We start from the raw sequence: 23,720 nt of genomic DNA, 5'->3' as shown, positions 1-23,720 counted from the left end.
AAAAGGGCACTTAAGTTTTGTTGTCTCCTCTCCAAAAATCCATAGGCCCAGTCTAATCATGAGAAAATCTCACACAAACCATGACTGAGGTGCATTCTACAACATACCTGATGAGTCCTCCTCAAAGTTGTCAAGGTCACGAAAAATAAGGGGACTGAGAGATTGAGGAGACTGAAGGACGTGGTAACAAATGGCAATGGAGTAACGTGGATTGAATTCTGCAACAACAACAAAAAGACATTAAAGAAAAGCTTGATGAAATTCAAGTAAAGTCTAGAGTTTTGGTAATAGTAATTTACCAATGTTAGTGTCTTACTTCTGAAAAATAGACTAGAGAAATGTAACATTAAGGGAAAGTTATACTTGGCAAAGGGTATATGGGAATTCTCCATATTATCTTTGCAACTTTTCTATAAAACTAAAATTATTCCAGAATAAAATGTTTGTTAAAACAATCAAACAAACAAAAACAAGAAAAGGGACTATGCCTCCAACCCCCACCTAGGTTTATGGAATCTGAAAATAGAGACAAGTTGGGCCTGTTTTCTATGTGGAACTCCAGGGAAATGTGGAACTCCAGAGAATAAACGGCTTCGTGGAATATCTAGGCCTTCATTGAGGGCCCTGGTCAGCCTCACCAACTCTCTGCACTCAGCCTGACCACAGAAAGATTCCCCTGAAACTGAGTGGACAAGAGGTAGAACCCATCCATGGAATCAAGTAAGATGCAAGGAGAACATCCAAACCTGAGAAAGAACAGAGGCTGGAAGGAAGAGAGGCTCTCTACATTGACTGAAATTGAATTGCCCAAAAGAGAAATTAGTCTTAGGAGGAAAAAAATATGTATAGCTGTATTCTACCCCCATGTGAGTTTGTAGAGTAAGCTTTGCATTTTCTGTAAAAAGAAGACAGAGGAAGAAGAGGAAGGCAAAAAAAAAAAAAAAAAAAAGATCATTCATTGCACACTTAGTCTATGCTGGGGATAGGTCAGCTCTATGTACATGTATTGGTTTTCTATGGCTGTGTAACAAATGGCCACAAACATAGTGGCTTACAATTCCTATTTATTATCTCACAGCTTCAGTAGGCCAGGGGTCCAGGCACAGTGCAGCTAAGCTCTCCACTCAGGATAGCATATGCTGAAATCAAGATTTCAGTTTTCTGTTGCCATAAATAGTATGTTTATTTGGCATCTATATTAGTCCATTTTCACACAGCTGATAAAGACATACTCAAGACTGGGAAGAAAAAGAAGTTTAATTGGACTTAGAGTTCTGCATGGCTGGAGAGGCCCCAGAATCATAGCAGGAGGTGAAAGGCACTTCTTACATGGTGGCGGCAAGAGAAAATGAGAGAGAAGCAAAAGTGGAAACCCCTGATAAATCCATCAGATCTCATGAGACTTATTCACTATAATGAGAATAGCACAGGAAAAACCAGCCCTCAAGATTCAATTGCTTCCCCCTGGATCCCTCCCACAACACGTGGGAATTCTGAGAGATAAAATTCAAGTTGAGATTTGGGTGGGGACACAGCCAAACCATATCATTCCACCCCCGGCTCCTCCAAATCTCATGTTCTTGCGTTTAAAAACCACTCATGCCTTCCCAAAAATTCCTCAAAGTCTTAACTCATTTCAGCAAAAGTCCACAGTCCAAAGTCTCATCTGAGATAAGGCAAGTCCCTTCTGCCTATGAGCCTGTAAAATCAAAAGCAAGCTAGTTACTTCCTAGATACAATGAGGGTACAGGTATTGGGTAAATATAGCCATTCCAAATGGAAGACATTGGCCAAAACAAAGGGGTTACAGGGCCCATGCAAATCCAAAATTTAGCAGGGCAGTTAAATGTTAAAGTTCCAAAATGATCTCCTTTATTCCAGGTCTCACGTCTAGGTCATGCTGATGCAAAAGGTGAGTTTCCATGGTCTTGGGCAGCTCCACCCCTGTGGCTTTACGGGGTACAGCATCCCTCCTGGCTGCTTTCACAGGCTTGTGTTGAGTGTCTGCGGTTACTCCAAGTGCATGGTACAAGCTGTCAGTGGATCCACCATTCTGGGGTCTGGAGGATGGTGGCCCTCTTCTCACAGCTCCACTAGGCAGTGCTCCAGTAGGGACTCTGTGTAGGGGCTCTGACTCCACATTTCCCTTTTGCACTACCCTAGCAGAGGTTCTCCATAAGGGCCCCACCTCTGCAGCAAACTTTTGCCTGCGCATATAGGCGTTTCCATGCATCTTCTGAAATCTAGGCAGAGGTTCCAAAACCTCCATTCTTGACTTCTGTGCACACGCAAGCTCAACACCATGTGGAAGCTGCCAAAGCCCGGGGCTTCCACCCTCTGAAGCTACAGACCAAGCTCTACATTGGCCCCTTTCAGCCACAGCTGAAGTGGCTACAACAGGGGACCAAGTCCCTAGGCTGAACATAGGAAGGGGACCCTGGGCCTCACCCACAAAACCACTTTTTCCTCCTGGGCCTCTGGGCCTGTGATGGAAGGGACTGCCATGAAGTTCTCTGACACGGCCTGGAGATATTTTCCCCATTGTCTTGGGGATTAACATTAGGCTCCTTGCTACTTATGCAAATTTCTTCAGCTGGCTTGAATTTCTCCTCAAAAAATGAGTTTTTGTTTTCTACTGCATCGTCAGCCTGCAAATTTTCTGAACTTTTATGCTCTGTTTCCCTTTTAAAACAGAATGCTTTTAATAGCACCCACGTCACCTTTGGAATGCTTTGCTGCTTAGAAATTTCTTCCACCAGATACCCTAAGTTACCTCTCTCAAGTTCAAATCTCTAGGGCAGGGGAAAAATGCTGCCAGTCTCTTTGCTAAAACATGACAAGAGTCACCTTTGCTCCAGTTCTCGACAAGTTCCTCATCTCCATCTGAGACCACCTCAGCCTGGACCTTATTGTTCATATCACTATTAGTATTTTTGTGAAAGCCATTCAACAAGTCTCTAGGAGGTTCTAAACTTTTCCACATTTTCCTGTCTTCTTTTGAGCCCTCCAAACTGTTCCAACCTCTGCCTGCTACCCAGTTCCGAAGTAACTTCCACATTTTTGAGTATCTTTTCAGCAGTGCCCCACTTTACTGGTACCAATTTACTGTATTAGTTCATTTTCAGGCAGTTGATAAAGACATACCTGAGACTAGGAAGAAAAAGAGGTTCCACATGGCTGGGAAGGCCTCAGAATCATGGTGAGAGGTGAAAGGCCCTTCTTACATGGCAGTGGCAAGAGAAAATGAGAGAGAAGCAAAAGTGGAAACCCCTGATGAACCCATTGGATCTCATGAGACTTATTCACTATCACAAGAATAGCACAGGAAAGATCAGCCCTCATCATTCAATTACATCCCCCTGGGTCCCTCCCACAACACATGAAAATTCTGGGAGATACAATTTAAATTGAGATTTGGGTGGGGACACAGTCAAACCGTATCAGCATCCATTAAAATCATAAAATCAAATTAATGGGCAAAGTTACTTACATCTTCCCCGTGATCCAGTTTTTGCAGATGAATGAAAATAGTATTACAACCCTCTCAACATAAACCACAGCATCTGTGTTTTGAGTTCTGCCCAATAGGGGACATTGCCATCTAACAACTATCTACCACTGTCCTAACAGAGGCTGTGGTCTAAGCTTTTGCCTCGCTCCTCCTTCTGCTTCCTGACCAAATCTGGTGCTTCCCCACTTGGCTTGTGGTGTGGCAAGCCTCCTTCTCTTGGGAAATGTAAGTAGTAAATTCTTCTTTCAATGGCATCAGGCTCTCCATGTCATCATTTAATTACCTCCCAAAATCAAAATCCTGTGGGTACATTTTAATACAGTCTGCTGGCCAAAGTCTCAGTTGAGGCTGGATTTTCTCCCAGGTTCACATGGTTATTGGTAGAATTCAGTATCTTGCATCTAAAGGATTGAGGTCCTTGTTTGTTTTCTTGCTTGCTGCCAGCAAAGAACCACTCAGCTCATAGAGGCCACTCCCAGATCCCTGCCAAAAGGCCCCCTTCATGGCCAGTTCACAATGTGACTGTTTTCTTCAAGACCAACAGGAGAGTGTCTGCCGCTGCTTCCTGTCTCTTTCAAGGGCTCCCCTGGTCAGGTCAGCCCCACCCATGATAATATCCCTCTTGATTAATTTAATACAAGTGATGAGGGATATCAGTGTCATCTGTAAAGCTCCTTTTTCCATAAAATGTAATTTAATTGAAAGGAGGAGCTAGCCAGAAAATGTGCACCAGAGGGCTGGGGGCTTGGGGGCCATCGCTGATTTGTTTCCACAATACACCTTATTTCATCCATTCTCAGAGTGGTTCTGTGAGGTAGGTAGCATTTTCCTTCCAGTTACAAACATGTTAGCGAAACAGGGTCATATTGTGCAAAAGTAGTTGTGGTTTTTGCATTGTTGAAATTTGCCATTAGATATTGGAATACACTCTTACATGAATGTAGTTATGCTATACATCATTTTAATGGACATTTCTCACTTCATGTTTTTTCACTAATGACGTATTACTTGCTCCTTATTTTATATTTATTTTAGACTATGGGAATAATGTTAGACAAAAAGCAAATTCAAGTTTTTTTTGTTTTTTTTTTTTTTTGATACTGAGTCTGGCTCTGTCACCCAGGCTGGAGTGCAGTGGTGTGATTTCGGCAACCTCTGCTTCCCGGGTCCAAGTGATTCTCCTACCTCAGCCTCCCGAGTAACTGGGATTACAGGTGTGCACCCCCATGCCCGGCTAATTTTTGTATTTTTAGTAGAGACGAGGTTTCACCATGTTGGCCAGGCTAGTCTCGAACTTCTGGCCTCAAGTGATCTGCCCACCTCAGCCTCCCAAAGTGCTGGGATTACAGGCATGAGCCACTATGCCTGGCCAATTTTCTTATTCAAGTTCAAAATGGATTGTAAAGCATCAGAGACAACTCGCAACATCAACAACACATTTGGCCCAGGAGCTGCTAACGAACTTACACTGCAGTGGTGGTTCAAGAAGTTTTGCAAAGGAGAAGAGAGCCTTGAAGATGAGGAATGTAGCAATCGGCCATCAGAAGTTGACAACCACCAATTGAGAGCAATCATCAAAGCTGATCCTCTTGTTACAACTACGTGAGAAGTGGCCAAATAACTCCACATCGACCATTCTACAGTCGTTTGTAATTTGAAGCAAATTGGAAAGGCAAAAAGCTTGATAAGAGGATGCCTCATAAGCTGAGCAAAAATTTAAAAAGAAAGTCATTGTTTTGAAGTGTCATCTTCTCTTTTTCTATGCAACAACGAACAATTTCTGGATCAGATTGACATATGACAAAAAGTGGATTTTATATGACAACCAGCAATGACCAGCTCAGTGGTTGGACTGAGAAGAAGCTCCAAAGCACTTCTCAAAGCCAAACTTGCACCAAAAACAGGTCATGGTCACTATTTGGTGGTCTGCTGCTGGTCTGATCCACTGCAGTTTTCTGAATCCCAGCAAAACCATTACATCTGAGAAGTATGCTCAGCAAATTGATGAGATGCATCAAAAACTGCAATGCCTGCAGCCAGCTTTGGTCAACAGAAAGGACCCAATTCTTCTCCACGACAACACCCAATGGCACATTGCACAAAGTTTCAAAAGTTGAACAAATTGGGCTACAAAATTTTGCCTCATCTGCCATGTTCACCTGGCCTCCCAGCAACTGACTACCACTACTTCGAATATCTTGAAAACTTTTTGCAGGGAAAACATTTCCACAACCAGCAGGATGCAGAAAATGCTTTCCAAGAGTTCATTGAATCCTGAAGCTCAGATTTTTACCCTACAGGAGTAAACAAACTTATTTCTCATTGGCAAAAATGTGTTGATTGTAAGGTTCTTACTTTGATTAATAAAGATGTATTTGAGCCTAGTTATAATGATTTTTGCACCAACCTAATATTTAAACCTGAGAAAGATTTGTAATTCAATTTTATACATATTATTGGATACCTACTATGTGCCAGACACTATGCTAGACTAATACAAATCCCTTGATCTCCAGGGTTTCATAATCTACTATAACAGGCAGCTATGTCTTAATGATAGTGAATATCAACTAAACAATGTCCACATACCATCTCTTTAAGGGACAAAAGCATGTGAAGTTGGTATTTATTCTTATGAGCTTTCATTTTACATGTGAGTAAACTGAGGCTTAGAGAGTTTAAACAATGTTCTCAGAGTTGCACATGTCATAAATTCTGAAGAGGGAACTTATGCTCAGAGCAGTTCACCTCCATGGTTCATAAGTTTAATAAATATGACATGCTGAATCTCAATACAAAAATTCTTGTCTCATATTCAATAAGAACTGCTAGAACAGAGACTGAGATCAATGGTAAAATGAATTTTTTAAGACAACTAGAGAATACAGAAGAGGTAATGTTTTAGTCCATTTGGGCTACTATAACAAAATATCATAAACTGGGGAGCTTATAAACTACAGAAATTAATTTCTTATGGTTCGGGAGGTTGAGAAGTCCAAGATCAAGGCACCTGCAGATTCAAGGTCTGATGAGACTGCCTTTCCTGAGTTGCAGTGGCCACCTTCTTGCTCTGTCCTCACATGGTGAAAGGGATAAACCAGGTCCCTTGGGCATATTTATAAGGACACAAATTTCGTTCATGAGGGCAGAATCACATTCTATGAGATACATAGCATTTTTTTAATCATACTGACATACGTTTTAGTGAAACAGAGGCCTATATTTAAATCATCTCCATAAAGGTCCCACTTTGGGGTAGAATTGCAACATATAAATTTTGGGGGAACACAAGTATTCAGATCATAGCATTCTGCCCCAGCCCCCCACTCAAATTTATGTCCTTCTCATAGGCAAAATACATTATTCCCTCCCAATGGCCTCAAAATTTTTAACTCATTCCAGTATCAACTGTAAAGCCTAATTCCAGCGTCTCATCTAAATATTATCTAAATTAGATATGGATGAGACTCAAGGTAGAATTTATCCTGAGGCAAATTGCTCTCCAGCTGTGAACCTGTGAAATCAAATAAGTTATGTGCTTCCAAACTCCAATAGTGGAACAGGAATAAGATAGACATTTCCATTCCAAAACAGAGAAACAGGAAAGAAGAAAGGGACTACAGTTTCCACAAAGATTTCAAAACCCAACAGGGCAAACAGCATTAAATCTTAAGCCTCCAGAATAATCTTCTTTGACTCAACGCTCTGCCCTTCAGGCCCGCTGGTCAGAGTTCCCACCTTCCAGGAACATTAAGGCAGGGGTTGGGTCCCCAACACTCCTGGTGGTCCTGCTCCCATGGCTTTAGTGTACCTCACCCCAACAGTTTTGCTGAGTATAGCCCATGCTGCAGTTCTCATGTGTTGAAGTCACATGCTTGTGGCTCCCACAGTCTAGAATCACAGACAAGTAGCTCCACTGGTCTAGAGTCCTGGGACAGCTACACCCCAGATCTCTATTAGGCACTGCCCTGGTGGGGACCCTTTAGTGACTCTGTCTCTGCAATGGTCCTATGCCTGGGTCATGTGCCCCAGGCTCTAGGCAGCTTCATTCTTTAAAATTTAAGTGGAGGTAGCCGTACCCCTGCAGCTCATGCACTCTATACACTGATGAATATGGCAAAACATGGACATTGCCAAGGTTTGCCTCCAAGGTTTACTGCCTGTACCCTCGGGTGAGGCAGCCACAGTGGCCTGTACCACACCTGGGCTGACTGGATCCACACCTGGGTCATCCAAGGAGCACTACACCAAAATGCAGGAAGCAAAGTATTTAGGTGGCCCTGGGAAGCTGATGTCCTGCAGGCATCCTTGGCTCTTCCTCTTAAATCGAATTGCCTCTAAGGCCTTTGCACTTTAGGCTTGTGTTAGTAAAAGCAGCAACAATAATCGACAAAATGCCTTCATGTCATTTTTCCATTTTCTTAATGAATAGCACCTAGCTGATTCATACTAATCTTCTTATCAAATGGTCACCTGGACACATCCTTGGTGTCCTCTCCAGAGCATGCTTTCTTAATTTTACAATGGGGACAGACTGATAATTTTTCAAACCTTTAAGTTGTACTTCTCTTTTGATTAAAAATGTTATTTTTAAGTTGTTTCTACCTTCTCACATCTTAGGATAAGCAGTCAAGAGAAGCCATGTCACACCTTCAACATTTTGCTTAGAAATTTCTTTTGCCAAATTTCCAAATTTATTGTTCACAAATTCTATCTTCCACAAAACACTAAGATGCAAATATAATACAGCCAATTTCTTTGCCACTTTTTCACAAGGATGATTTTCTCTATTGTCCAATAATGTTTTCCTCCTTTTGGTCTGAGACCTAATCAGAACGATCTGTACCATCTATGTTTCTACCACCATTCTGTTAACCACCACTTAGGTATTCTCTAAGAAGCTTGAGGCTTTCTCTAAAGCTCTTCTCTTCTCCTTTTGAGCACTCACCAGGATCATCCTTAATAGTCTGTTCTTAAGAATGTAGGCTTTTTTTAGTAGGCACTTCACAACTCTTTTAATTCCAAAGGCAATTATCTATTTTTAGGTATTGGTTACAGCAGCTTACCCATTTCTCAGTACCAGTTTTTGTCTTACTCTATTTGGCTTTCTTTAACAAAATGCCATAAACAATAGCTTATAAGCAACAAAAATTTATTTCTCACAGCTCTAGGGGCTTGGAAGCCCAAGATCAAGGTGACAACGGATTTGGTGTCTAATGAGGGGCCATTTCCTGGATCATAGATGATGATTTCTCATGAAGCACTCATGTGGTTGAAGGGGCAAGGCAGGTCTCTAGGGGCTCTTTTATAAAGGCACTAATCTTATTTATGAGGGCATTGCTGCATGACATAAAAGGCCCACCTCCTAAAACTATCACCTTGGAGATTAAAGTTTCAACATATAAATTTGGAGGCACACAGACATCCAGATCATAGCAAAGCACATTTCACCAGGATTGGTAACTATCTGATGTAAGAGATGAGATTGAAGCTGGACCTTAGTGAATTAGCAGGACTTCCACAGACAAGGATTCAGAGAGGCAGCAAAGAGAAAAATTTGAAGGGCAATACATGCAGAAACAATGGCTGGAGGGGTTGGTGTTCAGGGGTGAGAGAGGATGTATTCTGTCTCTTAAATCTATGTGTCTCAATTTAGGGACAAGATGGACTGATTCCATTGAGTATCCATCTCAGCCCTAAGGAAAGTTCGAGACCTGGTAGGACATGACACATTCCAAAAGATACAGGGTGCAAAATTAGTGCCTCTTTCTTGAGGAGTTCAGAAACCTTTCCCAGAGGAGTGCTTCTCAATATTTTGCCCTCCAAGGGACATTTTATAAGATATTTCTGGAGACATTTTTGATTATCACAAGTGGGAAGGTGAAGATGGTACTACTGGAATCTAGTGGGTAGAAACTAGGGATGCTGATGAATTTTGCAGATTGAAAGTTTGTGTGCCCCCAAATCCATATGTTAAACCCCTAACCCCTCAATGTGATGGTATTAGCCAGTGGGACCTTTGGAAGGTAATTAGGTTGAGAGGGTGGAACCCTCATGAATGGCATTAGTGCCTTTATAAGAAGAGACATAAAATCGTTCTCTCTCTCTGTCTCTCCCCCCACCCACCCCCCCTTCTCCTATGTCTGCATACCAGGAAGCCAGCCCTCACTAAACACCAGATTTGCCAGCACATTGATCTTGGACTTCTCAACCTCCAGAACTGTGAGCAAGAAATGTTTTTTCTTGCCATCCAAACAAGATGTATATTTGTTATAATAGCCCAAATAGACTTAGACAAGCCCTAAATTTCCATAGTGCCAAGGTCAAGAAACTCAGCTAGTGAGCCCATAAGGAATGTTTCTCAATCAGTTAGTACTTTATGACTTTGAGTAGTGATGGAAAATTTATGTCATTAGGCTCAGTTCTTAGTCTGTTTGCGATAGGTCCACAAGTGTGCATAATCTTAAAATCAAACCCAAAACATAGTTGCAGATTCATTCAGTAAATTCACAGGATGCCTGCTCCTTGCCCAGTATTGCTCCAGCTGGAAAGGTGGTAAACAAATTCCAAGACCAAAGAGCACACACATCTCGTGTGTAAGAGTAGGGAGATTTGGTCCTGTAGCGACAAAGGTCCTCCAATTTGCCATCGGCAATATGGTTTGCTCACTGTGAGTCATGCTGCCCTTGCTAGGGTGATGGCTGGAATGATTAATCCACCCTGTTGGGGCCTAATCTCCTTGGGCTCAGTTCCCATCTGATTCCCACCCGAGTTCCATCAAAGGGAGGCCTCTATCAGCTCATTCCCCATGCACGAAGGGGGTGGAAAAGGGTGTGGTAGAGAACATGCTCAAAATCTGCCCTCTTAAAAGGTGCAAGACCCAGCCAATCAAGAGGATAAGGTGCCCTGTGCGAGCCCTGAGGAAGATGGGCTCAGTGTTAGCTCTGGAAGGTGCCAGCCTGTGTAGGCAAGTCTGACATGAGAGTTGGCAGAGCCCTGGCCCTCAGGCAGTCAGCCTGAGACAGCCACCATTCCAGGATGCCTTCCCTGAGGTCCTCAGCAGTGTTCCCACAGTCTGGGGAGGGCCTCTCAGGGAGGCAGGAGTTGCACAGGCTCAGCCCACCACTCTCCTAGGGTTGCCTCTGTGACCCTCCCACCTTAGGGGGCCAGGCTGGGCAGCAAGAGACCATATAGCCTGCCTAGGATGCAGGTGGGATGAACACCCAACCAAGTCCTCATCGAGGCAGGCCATGACTCTGAAAAGTACAAACAAGCAGCTTATTCATTCCTTTATTCAAGATAAGTATCTACTTAGCCCTACTTTATAAGTGCTGGGAACTCTGCTGGGTTCTGGAATGTAGAAATGAGCAAAGTGTGCACGTTTCCTACTGTCATGGAGCTTGCAGTCTAAGATCCACAAGCCACCAAGACAAACCCAGAATCCCATGAATTATTGATTATTTATCAGACCAGCACTTATGTTCATCAGGCTAATTTTGTTGGCACAGCATCCCTCCAAACATCCCAGGTGACAAGGATATGAAGAAAGAGAATTTAGGGAGATTGGGAGAACACCCATGCTCACACACATGCCACTGGCCGGGGCCCGAGTGGGATTCGAACCCAGTTGTGTCATTGCTTCCTTCAAGCCCCACATCCCCATCTGATTCATCCTGTTATGAGCCTTCTTCCTTCTTCTTCTAAATGGAATCAGTTTCTTTTTACAGGAGAAGGGGATACTTGGGGACTTGGAGACCATTATCTACTTGGTCTTTATATTTATCTAATTCATTTCTTCTTCTATTCACTTAATTCTACACGCGCACATTGGATGCTTACATCATGCCAAAAGCTTCACTCCAGCAGGTCCCCTGCACCTGGATCACTCACAGCCTGTTTGAGAGGTGGCTCATACACGACTACCTGGAACACAAGATAGATGATGACTGCGCACACATGAGAGGTACAGACAGTCATTTGGGCACTCAGATGAGAAGAAGTGTGGGCATATGGAGACAATTGGTGAGGGCTTCAGGAAAGAGGTGATCTTTGAACAGAGACCTGAAACGTGGTTAAGCTGTACCTGCTGGAATGGACATTAATGGTCGCTGACTCTGGGTATGTATCAACTTTGTAGTCACAGCATGTGGATTACCTAGACATTCGGCACACTGTCTTACCTCTGACTCTCATTAGCCTCCTCTGTGGAATGGAGACACAGTACCTAGGACTGTGAAGGAAGTGAAGGCACCTGCTTCTGCATCTGGAATACCTGTACTCATTAAAATGGGTCAGCCTTTTTCCAGGCCCATGGATGTCCCACATTGTAGCACACAATGTCCCTTTGCCCCATCTGGAGTCCTAAAAGTGTGGACATGCATGTGGGGACAATGACCAAGTAGATAGAGAACAGTGATGGAGAAGCAGGCTACGACCCCTTCAGTGAGAGCCCTGACCACCCAGCCGAGACTGACCAAACTCGTCCAGGCTTCAAGATGCTGGATCCTCCTCTGGAAACGTGCCAGCAAAAGGAAGGGTGTGTTGGGAGCAGACAAGGGCATGATGCATCCCCAGGTTTTTACTGCAGCCTAATGGCATGCTCTCACAGGGACATTGATAGACACGCAGGATCTGGGCTTGCTGGCTGGTCTGGCTCGGCACTCCCTACCCACGCCTGCCTCGCCCTCTGGCCTTGCCAAATGAATGAGCCTTCCTGCAAGTTTTCTCAGGACTGTCTGAGCCCAGGGAGAGCAAAGAACTGAAGTCTGTGAACAGGTGAAATTCCTTTGCATCAATCCACACCATTTCTTCCCTTCCAAGTACTCAGTGACAAATAGGTCTACCTGCCCCTTAGTCATATGACGATCTTAGGGCAACCAACCCCCAACCAACTCCCTCTGACCTTTGCTGCAGCTCCTGCAGATGGACTGGGGAATAATATTTATCTTGATCTTCAATTGGATTAAGTCTATGCCAAGCCCAGGGGACTGTGGTTTTCAGGCCTGGGCTACTGCCTGTTTTTGTAAATAAAGCTGTATCGAAATTGTCACCCCTATTCATATTGCGTGCTATCTGAGGATGTTTTTGTACTACAATGGCAAAATTGAGCAGTTGCCATGGACTCTGTATGGCCTGCAAGGCCTAAAATATTTACTATCTGGTCCTTTAGATAGAAAGTTGGCCAATCTTCCCTCTAAAGTATATCAGATTTTATATTGTTGTCATTCATTCAGGAAGTCATTCATTCAGTTATGCCACTAGTCTGTTTCCCACCAGGCTGTAAGCAATTGGAAAGCAGAGGCTGCATCTTCTATCTTTGTATCATCCTCAGTGCCAAACCCAGTGCACAGTAAGTCCTTAGGAAGTATTTGTTGAATGAATGAATGAATGAGAAATGAAAGCAATAAATGCATAAGTGAATACATTCTTGGTCTCTGCCGTCAGGAAACTTAATAGTCTAGCAGGAAAGACAAACCTAAAAACAAATAAGTAAAATAAAATCGGGTAAGGGTTACCATAAGCATGGACATATTTTCAGAGGAAAGGGCTCCTGATTCTATGGTAGAAGCTGATAACATCAGAGCATGGTCTTGAAGAATATTAAGAGCTTGCATTTCTAATCCTAAAATCTATGGGTTTTAGAATCAGAGGTGATTGAAGGTTAGAGGAGTTTGGGAGGATTGAAGGAGAGAGGAGTTTGGGTATTCATAGGGCTGTGAGAAGGGAAGTAAATTCACCCACTTTTTTCACCAACATTCACTGTGTACCTTCTAAAGTCCTAGCCCTGACATCCCCCATCCCTCACTCTCCTCTTTGACCGGGAGCCACACTGTGTGATTTAGGCAGGCCGCTTACCTCACCATGCCTCTGTTGTCATTTATGGCAGCATGATGATGCCCCCCACCTCCTGGATTTTATAGGAAGATTCAGTTCCTAATACCTGCAATGTGCTTGGCACACGGAAGCACTCAGAAAGAGTCAACTTGAAACAAGAGATATGATTTAGGCTTAACAGCTGCAAAATGGCAGCCTGGTTTCTTTGCCCGACCCACTTCTCACCCTGCAGGGGTAAAGCTCTTCATTCCCAGAGGTCTCCTCCTCTCAGGGGTCCCCTAAGGCCTTGTGGCTGATGCACTTTCCCACGGGCCTGCCGAGGGCCCTCCACCTTCTTACATTGCCATGAGAAACACAATCTTACCTGCCGGCATCTCCATATTGCAAACTTCACAGGCATGCATGCCACGCCTCCACCAATAAACTGTCTTTTCTGCTTGCAAAAGGGACTTTAAGAAAACAACAACAACAAAAAAAAACATGTTTCTGTCTTTCTTTTCTTGATGGAAACATATAGAGTGACAATTGCATCCTGGTGAAATAAAATTGCACCCACGGCAGGAGCTGAGGCCGTAGCTCCTATTTTAATGAACAGACACCCTGCATAACAATTTTCAAGACCTCCTGCCATCTCTCACCCCTCCCTCCTTCCCTTCCTCCTTTCTCCCATTTTTCCCTTTACTCATTCCTTTTCTCCCATTCTCAGCACAAAGTTGAGGGGGAAAGAAATCACAAGGTGGCAGATACTGAGATTGCCGTGGATATCTAGTGCCATATATCTTGTCAGAAAAATCACCGTGCCTGTTAAAAAAGAAGAAAGCAAAACTCAGGACTCAGAAGACTGTGCAGTTATCCCACTTTCTCATTCAATTTTTTTTTTTTTTTTTTGCTATTTAAATTTCACTATATTTCTTTTTTTATTCTCTTGCTGGTCTTTATACGTAGGACACAATACACACACACACACACACACACACCCCTCACTCTCTCACTTCTGTCATTTAAAGTATGAAGAAACTAGTGAAGAAAAATCTATTTTCAGCTGTTCCATGTTAGAAAGCTTTTGCCACCATGATGAAAGAAGTGGATTTTGAAGAAAGTCAAGGCACTGATGAAGATGAAGGAATATTCTGACCAGCAGCCATCTGTTCTGTTAATTAAATCCTGTGCACATCAAGTAGTATGCTCTTACGTAACTAATAATTAAGAACTAAAGAGAGGTATGTATGCAGCATCCACTATGAATACTTTTATATATTGAAAAAATAAAAATAAAGACCCAGCCTTACTCTGGTCCATAGTCTAGCGATGATTAAACAGGCATTGATCAGGGCCTTCAAATACAAAACAGGACTCAGGTCTCAGAGAACAAAGGTTTCTATCTGACGCCTTTTCTTCTAATGGTCCTTGTGCAGTAAAAATAAAGTCCAAACACTATAATTTTACTCGCAGAAAAGTTACAAATACTGTAGGTATCTTTAGAAACAGCTGCAAAAGTGGTTTCCCTTCTGACAAGATTGGTGTTAATTACCAGCAAGGACTTCAGTATAATACTATTTAAATCATTTTAAATTATCCCTCTCAAAAATTAATTTTTCATCAAAGATTACACACAAAAAATCATGATATCATCTCTGCAGCTGCGATTTAGTAATAATTTCATCTATTATTACCAATGTCAGTTGGATAAAAGAAAAAATGGCACCCCACCGTGCCGATTCCAGCACAGGCCATATATAGAAATTTTTAACTATCACTTATAATCGCTTTGATGAGCTTAAACCTCCTCTCAATTAACACCCTAAATGACACTGAGACATCTTAATGGGGGATGTAAGTAAGGGAAAAGACTTTAATCAAAGAATAAAGAGAAAAGTGCCAAGAGATAGGAGGGCTTGCCGCACACCTCTTCGTGTCCAATCCCATTGAAGTCCTTTATCACGTTTGGAACCTTTTGTCATTCCAGGATCCAGGGGAAATCTACACGGCGGGGGTAGAAAGACAAGTGGCAGTGGCAAGTTGCTCTATTATCTTTGGAGATATAAAGACTTTTTCAAGGGCCCCCTGGCAGGACATCCAGACAAGAGGATGGGAACTCTGGAATGCTGTCACTTGAACAAGTGCAATAAAGCAGAGAAGCAAAAGGGAAGATATTGTTCTCTTAAGACCATCTTCTGGGCTGTGCCAGGGTAGCAGTTGTGGGGATCCAAGCCACTCACATGTAGGCACCCCAACTCACTCTCAGCAGGGCCAGAGAACAAAATGGGTCCCACTAGGCACATTCGAGTTATGCAAACTCACACAGCTGTGGGGATGTTACAGAAGGACATTTCTCAGGCCATTATTTTTTATCGTGAACTGCTGTTCCTGGGCTTTGGGAGAATTGGGAATAAAATGAAATAAAACAAAATCCAAATGAAAACTGACCAGCATGCTTTACTCTTTTTAAATCGTGTCCATGGTGTCCATGGTGATTTTTGCTTCCAATTAAGACGTCTAATGAACATGTGTTAGTGCCCATGCTCTACTCCCAAGAAACAAACTGGGCAATTAATGGCACTGCAGGAGCCCCGATTTCTTCAGCCATATACACATATTTGGTTGAAAAGGCAAGTTTGTAAATTGTATTTGCAAAATTGAATGAAATAAACTGGATTTTCAGATCTGACTTACCCCTTTATACCTCTAAGCTACTTCAGCCTCCAAAGATGAGAAGAGTGTCCTACTGCTGCATACCTTGTGCCAAGGTCTGGGAAAGAGGATGACACATAAGCTACATTTTTACTGTCAAAAAGGATACTTTTCTGGGTTGTGACAAAGAGGGCTAACATCTGTACAGTACCTAGGGCTGTCATCCAGTGGGAGCCAGGCTCTATATCAAAGTTCCATGAATAACCTATCATGGCTGGCCTCATTATCCAGGATTTGGAGATGAGAAACCAAGGATTGGAGAAATGTCCAGAAAGTGGCACAGGCATAGAATAGAGAAGCCAGGATGTAAAACCAGGCTTTGTGATGGTGGACAAACCAGAGAGAACCTAGATCAAGAGCTTTCTCCAGAATAAAAAGGTTTTGGCTGTCTTCACCTTTTGCTAGTTGCCCAGACATTATTCCTAACCCCATTCCCTCCTCTCACCACAGGAAACTTGATGGTATTACGTTATATTATGTAGAATTTTAACTGTATTTTTTATGTTGTAGATTATCTTTTTACTTCCTTCTTTTTGGATATTACTTTAAACACACACAGACATGTGTGTGCATGGGTAAAACTTAGTGCAATAAATTTTACCAATCTATGTGCTCATCCTTAATATCCATATTTTTCAAAACATCCTCCTTCAGGTGCCCTTCTCTCAAGGATGTTTTCAGAGAGGGCATGATGGGGTAGTAAACTTTCTGAGTCTTTACTCACTTAAAAATATCATTATATTGCCTGTGTGTTGAGAGATAGTTTAGCTTGGTATAAGATTACAACTTAAAAGTGAGTTTAATTTAACACTTTGAAAATAATTCTCTATTCAATGTTGCTATTAAGAAATAAGATTTTAATCTAAATATTATTTCTGTATGGGTGATCTGTATGTTCTCTTGGATAGCTTGTCACTTTTTTCTTTTCCTTTGATGTACTTAAATATAATTATGTTGTCTAAGTGATTTTTTACTTATAGATTCTATTAGGCATTCCATAAGAACTGTGGCTATGAATCTCTTTTTATTCATTTATTCTATTATTATTTGCTTTTCAAATACTTCCTCTCCTTATTTTTTCTCTCCTTCTATGACTGCCTATTTTATTTATATCAACAGATGTGCCTCTAGCCTCTATTTATTTTAACTTTTTTGCTTTTTGTAACTCTTTCTACCTGCTCCTGCCTTCTCAGAGAGTTCTTTAAACTGACCTTCTAGCTCACTAATTTATCCTTAAGTTGTATCCATTGTGCTTTTTATTCCACTCCTTAAACTCTTTATATTCAGTATTGCATATTTCATACCTAGTTTTTCCACGTGGTTCTGCTTTGTAACTGCCTGTTTCTGCTTCATCGTCCAATATCCTTGCATGTTAGGAGCAGCATTTCTTTTACTGTGATTGTGCTTCTCAGGCCCTTGCTTCTAGTCTCCTGAAGAGTTGAAGGAGTGAGATATGTGGCCCAGAATAGAGACCTCCTATGCCAAAGTCTGGGCTTGGCCAGCCCATTTACTTTGTAACCCCAAAGCCTCACCTTACAGCAGCTTTCCATCCATGTAGCCAGGCATGGCTCTTCCGCAAGAGGTTGTCTCCCTGCCTCCATCCTTTGCAGCGAAGGAAGGAAGTGAAGCTGGAAGCCCCCAGCAGCCAGTCTCTCTGACTGCACTGCTGGTTCAGCCATCTCCATCTTGCCCTCAGGGGTAATACTTCCTTAGTGACCCCAACATGGCTGAGTTGACTTTGCTATTTTTCTGTCTCAAAGAGGTCAAAGGGTTGGCAAAGATATTCCAAGTATAATATGGAAAAAATAAAAAATAAAATACACAAGCTCCCTTCTTATATCCACCCCACTAAATGTGGTATGCAGGCATCCTTGGGGCCATGCTAAGGCATAACTGCCCTCAGTCTCCCCAGAGTTCCTTGGAATGTCTATATTACTGTTCAGGTCCATTCGCTTACTCCTTAATTTCCTGACCTCTTTGGTGTTGGGTTTGTGGGAGAGGGCCAGTATTTTATGCTAACCGTATGAGCAGACCAGCAGATACAAGACAAAAGTAGGATTCTCAGAGGAAAAGCAAGCTGGGCAAAGAGAAGCACATGAACAAAGCCACTGAGCGCAAACCACGAAGGAGCAGACGACAGCAGAAGAAGCTTCTTGTTTTTGTTGTTTGTTAGTTTGTTTTAATTCATTTGGAAAGCAGTAGAACCCAATGGCAAATTGGAGAGTTGGGAACAGAGGTAGTATGGGAGAATATAAGTCTCTGAGCTAAGGATGAGATGAACAAGCAGTTTTGTTTTTTAAGTGGGGACAGTTTTTGATAAGAAATACCTTAGGTTAATGTCACATGATAAATATTTCCACATAATCTCACCTATTGATTGTTATACTGGAAAGTTGGAACTGCCTTATCCAGCTCTCTTAGAACCAAAATCAATGCTGACTTTGATCCCTTTCGACTCACTTTTATTTAGTGTTTATTTTGAATCTTTTGTCACTGGACTTAGATCTTTATCTGTGTCCCCAGATGGCTGGTCTAAGAGTGGCTTCCAGAGGGAAGTAGGGCAGATTTGGCTAGGGATCATGTTGGAATACCGCCAGAGTAAACCTGGCCATGTGTTCACCTTGCCAAAGGCTGTGGTGTAGCCAGCGCATCACCAACCACCCAAAAAAAGCCTTTTCTTTGGTTCCATCTCTTTCCTCCCGAGGGCTAAGACTCCAGGAAATGGTGAAACCCGAGAGACAGAACCAGCAAATGTACCAAATCACAGCTTTGTGGCTGGGCAGGACATTTCACAAATTCTCTCTCCATTGACTCTCACTGCACTCTGGGAAGAGAGTGTGATTATCCACATTCTACACAGGAGAAAATCAATCAAGACCCAAAGAAATCAAGAGACTGGCCCGAGTTTATGCAGAAAGGAAGAGCAAGTCTTAGGGCTGTAGGTTCAAAAACCAGGTCCCCCCACACCACACCTGAGAAGTGGAAGAAAGAGATTGATTCCCATTTACATCTTCACATTCTATCTGTTGAGTTTTGACTATGTTCCAGGTTCTGTACTAGGCACTGAGTTTACTCTCAAACCAAAAGGACCACACACACCCTACCCTCCAGGGAAAAGGAGGTGGTAACACAGACATGAAACAGTGTCCCTGAAATGAATATGCACTTTACACAGCATGAGATTTGGAATTCAAAAAAGAAGAAGGAAAGAAAAAAGAAAAATAGGACACTTTAAGAGAGGTCAGGAGTCTCATTTTGCATATAGGGTCAGTATATTAGTCTGTTCTCACACTGCTAGGAAGCAATAACTGAGATGGGGTAATTTATAAAAGAAAAAGGTTTAATTGACTTGCAGTGCCGCATTGCTGGGGAGGCCTCAGGAAACCTAAAGTCATGGTGGAAGGCAGAGGAGAAGCAGGCACCTTCTTCACAGGGTAGCAGGACAGAATGAGTGCAAGCAGGGGAAATGCCAGATGATTATAAAACCATCAGATATCATGAGAACTCACTCACTATCATGAGAACAGCATGGGGGAAATGGCCTCCATGATCCAATTACCTCCATTCCATCCCGCCCTTGACAAGTGGGGATTATGGTGATTACAATTCGAGCTGAGATTTGGGTGGAGACACAGAGCCAAACCGTATCAGTCAGGGAAGCCAAGACCGGAAGAATCTACACGAGTCTGGCCGCTGTCTTACCGCATCACCTCCGATAGCCATGTGCCACCTCCACACCTCAATCCCCACATCCTTATCTGTGGCTGTCAGTGGAACTTACTTCCGTGATTAGTGGTCTATATTTATAATGTGTTTGTTTTTTGTGAATGAAACTGGCATTGAAACTCTGACATTGAACCATCCTACCAAAGAATATTTTTTTTTCAGAAAATGGCACCGATGTGCTATGAGCAGAAGGAACTCTGGACACTGAGTCAGAAGACATATTTAATGGCCGGGCTCCATTTCTAATTCCAAGTCCACATTTTCTCCACACTGCCTAGCTGGGAGGGGAGCACAGACACTGGAATAGGTAGAACCGAGTCCAGGCCCAGGGATGTTCCTTCCTATCTGTAGGAACATTTGTTAATGTCTCTGAGCTTCTGCCTCCACAGTGTATAAATATCTCACCCTGTTATTGTGCCTAATAAAACAGACAACTCAAGTCTTCATACTGGCAACCAGCATAGGGTAGCACTTTAATGACAGCTGGTCTCTGTCCTTCCGACAACGGATAAACCAGCTCTACAAGGATTCCATCCTGGTGGCCTGGTGGAAACAAACCCTATACTCTGTTGCCTAATTGTTTAATTCTTTTTGAGACCCAGACTTTTGTTCAGAACGAGAACAATATGTTGCACTGGAGGCCTGGAGTGGGTCCAGCCCAGAGTTGCCCCCATGGGCACAGACCTTCCAGAGACCAGCCTGCCTCCAGCTCAGAAGGGGCTCGTGAGAGCAGCGGATGGATGCCGGAGCTGCACTCTACATAGCTGGAGCGCTCTTCACGTTATCAGCACAATCGGGGGAGTCTAAATTGGCCCACAGTGCGTGAGCCCAGAACACCTCATTCACTTCTAACATGAAGAGCTCTTTTAAAATGTGAAGTACTGAATTTGGAAAGCATCGAGATTTAGGCACGAATAGTGCAGAACAATTTAATATTATGGGAGCTCTTCAATCTCTCTCTTTTTTTTTTTTTAGATAAGCACTTCATTTTGGAAGTGACTCAAATAATGCTCTATTACTCCAATGAGCACATGACTGACTTGAAAATGCAATTACCCCACACTAAGAAATAAATCCCCAAAGTTCCCAAACCGGGGGGAAGTATGGAGGAAAGGCAGCACTCAATTCTTCTGTACACCTGGAATATCTTCACTTTCCCACTCCACCTCTCCAAACACTGTGCTTTTTAACCCCAAGCTTAAATGCTGTCTCTCTGATGCCTTTCAATTCAGATGTGCTGATGTGCATTGAATGCCTACTGTCATCGAGCCAATTTCTCATTTGTGGGGTCATTTAGTCCCCACAGCAACTCTGTAATGTAAGTGATCCTTATCTCCATTTGACCCCAGGAAACAGGACCACAGAGGCACTAAGCTGACCTCAGAACTTTCAAGAACCTCAAAGAACCGGCAAGTTGCTTTCATTACTCATTCAGGAGCGGGAGAATGAGTCTATGCTTGAGTCTATGCTTGATGAAACAAAGAATAGACTTTGCCCAAAAAGGAAGACTTGACCAATGAAGAAGGAAGAGTCCTTGTCCTCAGTACCTTGAGATGGAATAGAAAACACTGAGATTTGAATTCAGAAAACCTAAGTTCCAACCACCAGGGACAAGTCATTTGTCTCATCTATAAAACAAGGAGATCTTGGCGGTTAATGGAAGGGGAGACTAGAGAGCAGATGGGAAACTCTTGGCCCAGGTATTTGGCATCGACTCTGCAATGAATCTCTACCTGGACTTTGCATTGCTATGAAGCTTTGTAGCCCTGGATGCCGTCTGCCCTACCGGGCCCTGGGTATTCCCCGGGATCCCCACCACCAGCCCTGATGAGATGGTTTCTCACTGGAAAGAGGAGACAGGAAATAAACACCTAAAGAAGCAAGAACATAGGCACACAGGAGTTTATTTCTTGTTTGTGCTGCAAGCAGGGCCACTGCTCACAAGGACATGTCTCAGAGAATACTCCAGGGAACTGAGAGGGTTATGATTTCTCCTCTGTGCTGGGCAGTCACTGGCCAACCAAAGGCACAGCAGACCTCGAGGAGACTCTTGATACCATGTGGCATGGCCTGCCCTCTGGACAGACAGAAGCTCTGAGGCCCAGATCAGGAAAGAGCTGCTAGTTCAGACACAGCCACAGAGGGATCTATGTCTTATGACTTCTAGACTGGGACCCCATAACTGGCCTCCTCTTGGGGTATAAGAAACACTGATACTGAGCAACTACTGTTTCTAAATTTCCAGGGCATTTTCTTATTTACTATCTAGTGGCTTTATAGGAGCTTTAAATATGGAAATTACACTCAGGATTCTGTCCGGTTCCCTCTTACTCTCCGACTCAGGACCTCTTCATGTAGTTCATGGTTTGAACTACAGACTTTAGACTGGAAGCTTCTAAATCCATTTCTTTAGCTTAGATATTCACGCCTTTGTGTCCTAAGAACCTCTGGGTGTCTCCACCGGGATATGACATGAGAATTTCAAATTCAGTGTTTCCTTACAGGGAGCCACTTTCTTCCCTCCGCTGACGCTAAACAAGCCAACAAATAAAACAATTGCAAATGGTAGTAACAAACGTAGTGCTCCAAAGAAAGGAACGAGGATGCTGAAAAAGGAGGTTTCATTCTCAGGTAAGAGTAAAGAGAAAGGACCTCTTTTTTTTTTTTTTTTTTTTTTTTTTTTTTTTGAGACGGAGTCTCATGCTGTCGCCCAGGCTGGAGTGAAGTGGCATGGTCTCGGCTCACTGCAACCTCCACCTCCCAGGTTCAAGCGATTCTCCTGCCTCAGCCTCCCAAGTAGCTGAGACTACAGGCTTGTGCCACAACGCCCAACTAATTTTTGTATTTTTAGTAGAGATGGGGTTTCACCATGTTGGCCAGGATAGTCTCGATCTTTTGACCTCATGATCCACCCGCCTTGGCCTCCCAAAATGCTGGGATTACAGGCGTGAACCACTGCACCCAGCCGAGAAAGGACCTCTTAAACTTGAAGGCATTTAAATTGAGATCTGCAAGATAAGGAGAAATTAACCAGCTGTAGGGAACCACCAAGCAGAGGGAGAAGCATGTGCTGAGGCTTTTGGGTGGGAAAGAGCTTGGCCTGTTGGAGAAAAGAAAGAGGGCCACATGCTTTCTAAGAGAGGTAGGAGAGCTCCTGGAGAAGACGCGGCAGGAGACCAATTGCGCAGGGGATTTGGGAGTTGAGGTTTTATTTTAAACACAGTGACAAGCATTAAAGGAAGTGGATGCTGACAGTAAGCAAGTGTCAGAGCTACGATGGATAATGGACACTTGTGTTTCCAGCCTTCTTCCCTGCACAAAGAAGTCTGAATTCCTCTGGACTTTTCCCAGCTGCTGGTCCTTTTTCTGCCTCTGTGATCATCGTTTTTCCTCTCATCCTTCACGCTGCTCCTTGCCTTCTCATTCCCTCCACTGTCTTATTGTTTAAACAGCCCTGCACTGTTATGGGCTGAATTTCACTGAAGCCCTAACTCCAGTACCTCAGGTGTGACCATATTTGGAAATAGGGTTTTTAAATGGCTAAAATGAAGTTAGCAGGGTGGGCCCTAGTCCAATAGGAATCCTTATAAGAAAAAGAAATTTGCACACAGAAGAATCACCAGGGATGTGCACACACAGTGGAAAGGCCATGCAAAGTCGCTGAAGAAGCCAAGGAGAGAGGGCCCAGAACAAACCAACCCTGCTCACATCTCTGTCTTGGATTTCCAGCCTCCAGAACGGTGAGAAAATACATTTCCACTGTTTAACCGCGACCCCCACTCCGCCCCCGGCCTCGCCCGCCCAGCCTCTGGTATTTTGTTATGGCAGCCTTCATAGACTACAACAATGCCACCTCCCCCTCCCTTTCCTAAAGAGCCACTTCTCTCACGGATGCCTGGTTGCCCCTGAAGTATGAGCTTGCATTCCGTGGCCTTTGCCTGGCAAAAGGTGGCATCGT

General features: G+C 43.3%; 1 long non-coding RNA gene across 1 annotated transcript in view; it reads right to left on the bottom strand.

The window, feature by feature from the left end:
• The window catches only part of LINC02325 (long intergenic non-protein coding RNA 2325), a 122,568-nt gene that overhangs the window by 70,911 nt on the left and 27,937 nt on the right, over positions 1-23,720 (bottom strand). Inside the window, exon 2 of the long non-coding RNA NR_110166.1 lies at positions 108-218. This is a non-coding gene — a long non-coding RNA (long intergenic non-protein coding RNA 2325). The remainder of the gene's footprint in view (positions 1-107; positions 219-23,720) is intronic.

This window comes from Homo sapiens, chromosome 14 (genome assembly GCF_000001405.40).
Source record: "Homo sapiens chromosome 14, GRCh38.p14 Primary Assembly".
Lineage (NCBI taxonomy): Eukaryota > Metazoa > Chordata > Mammalia > Primates > Hominidae > Homo > Homo sapiens.
This window is presented reverse-complemented; position numbering and strand designations above follow the sequence as displayed.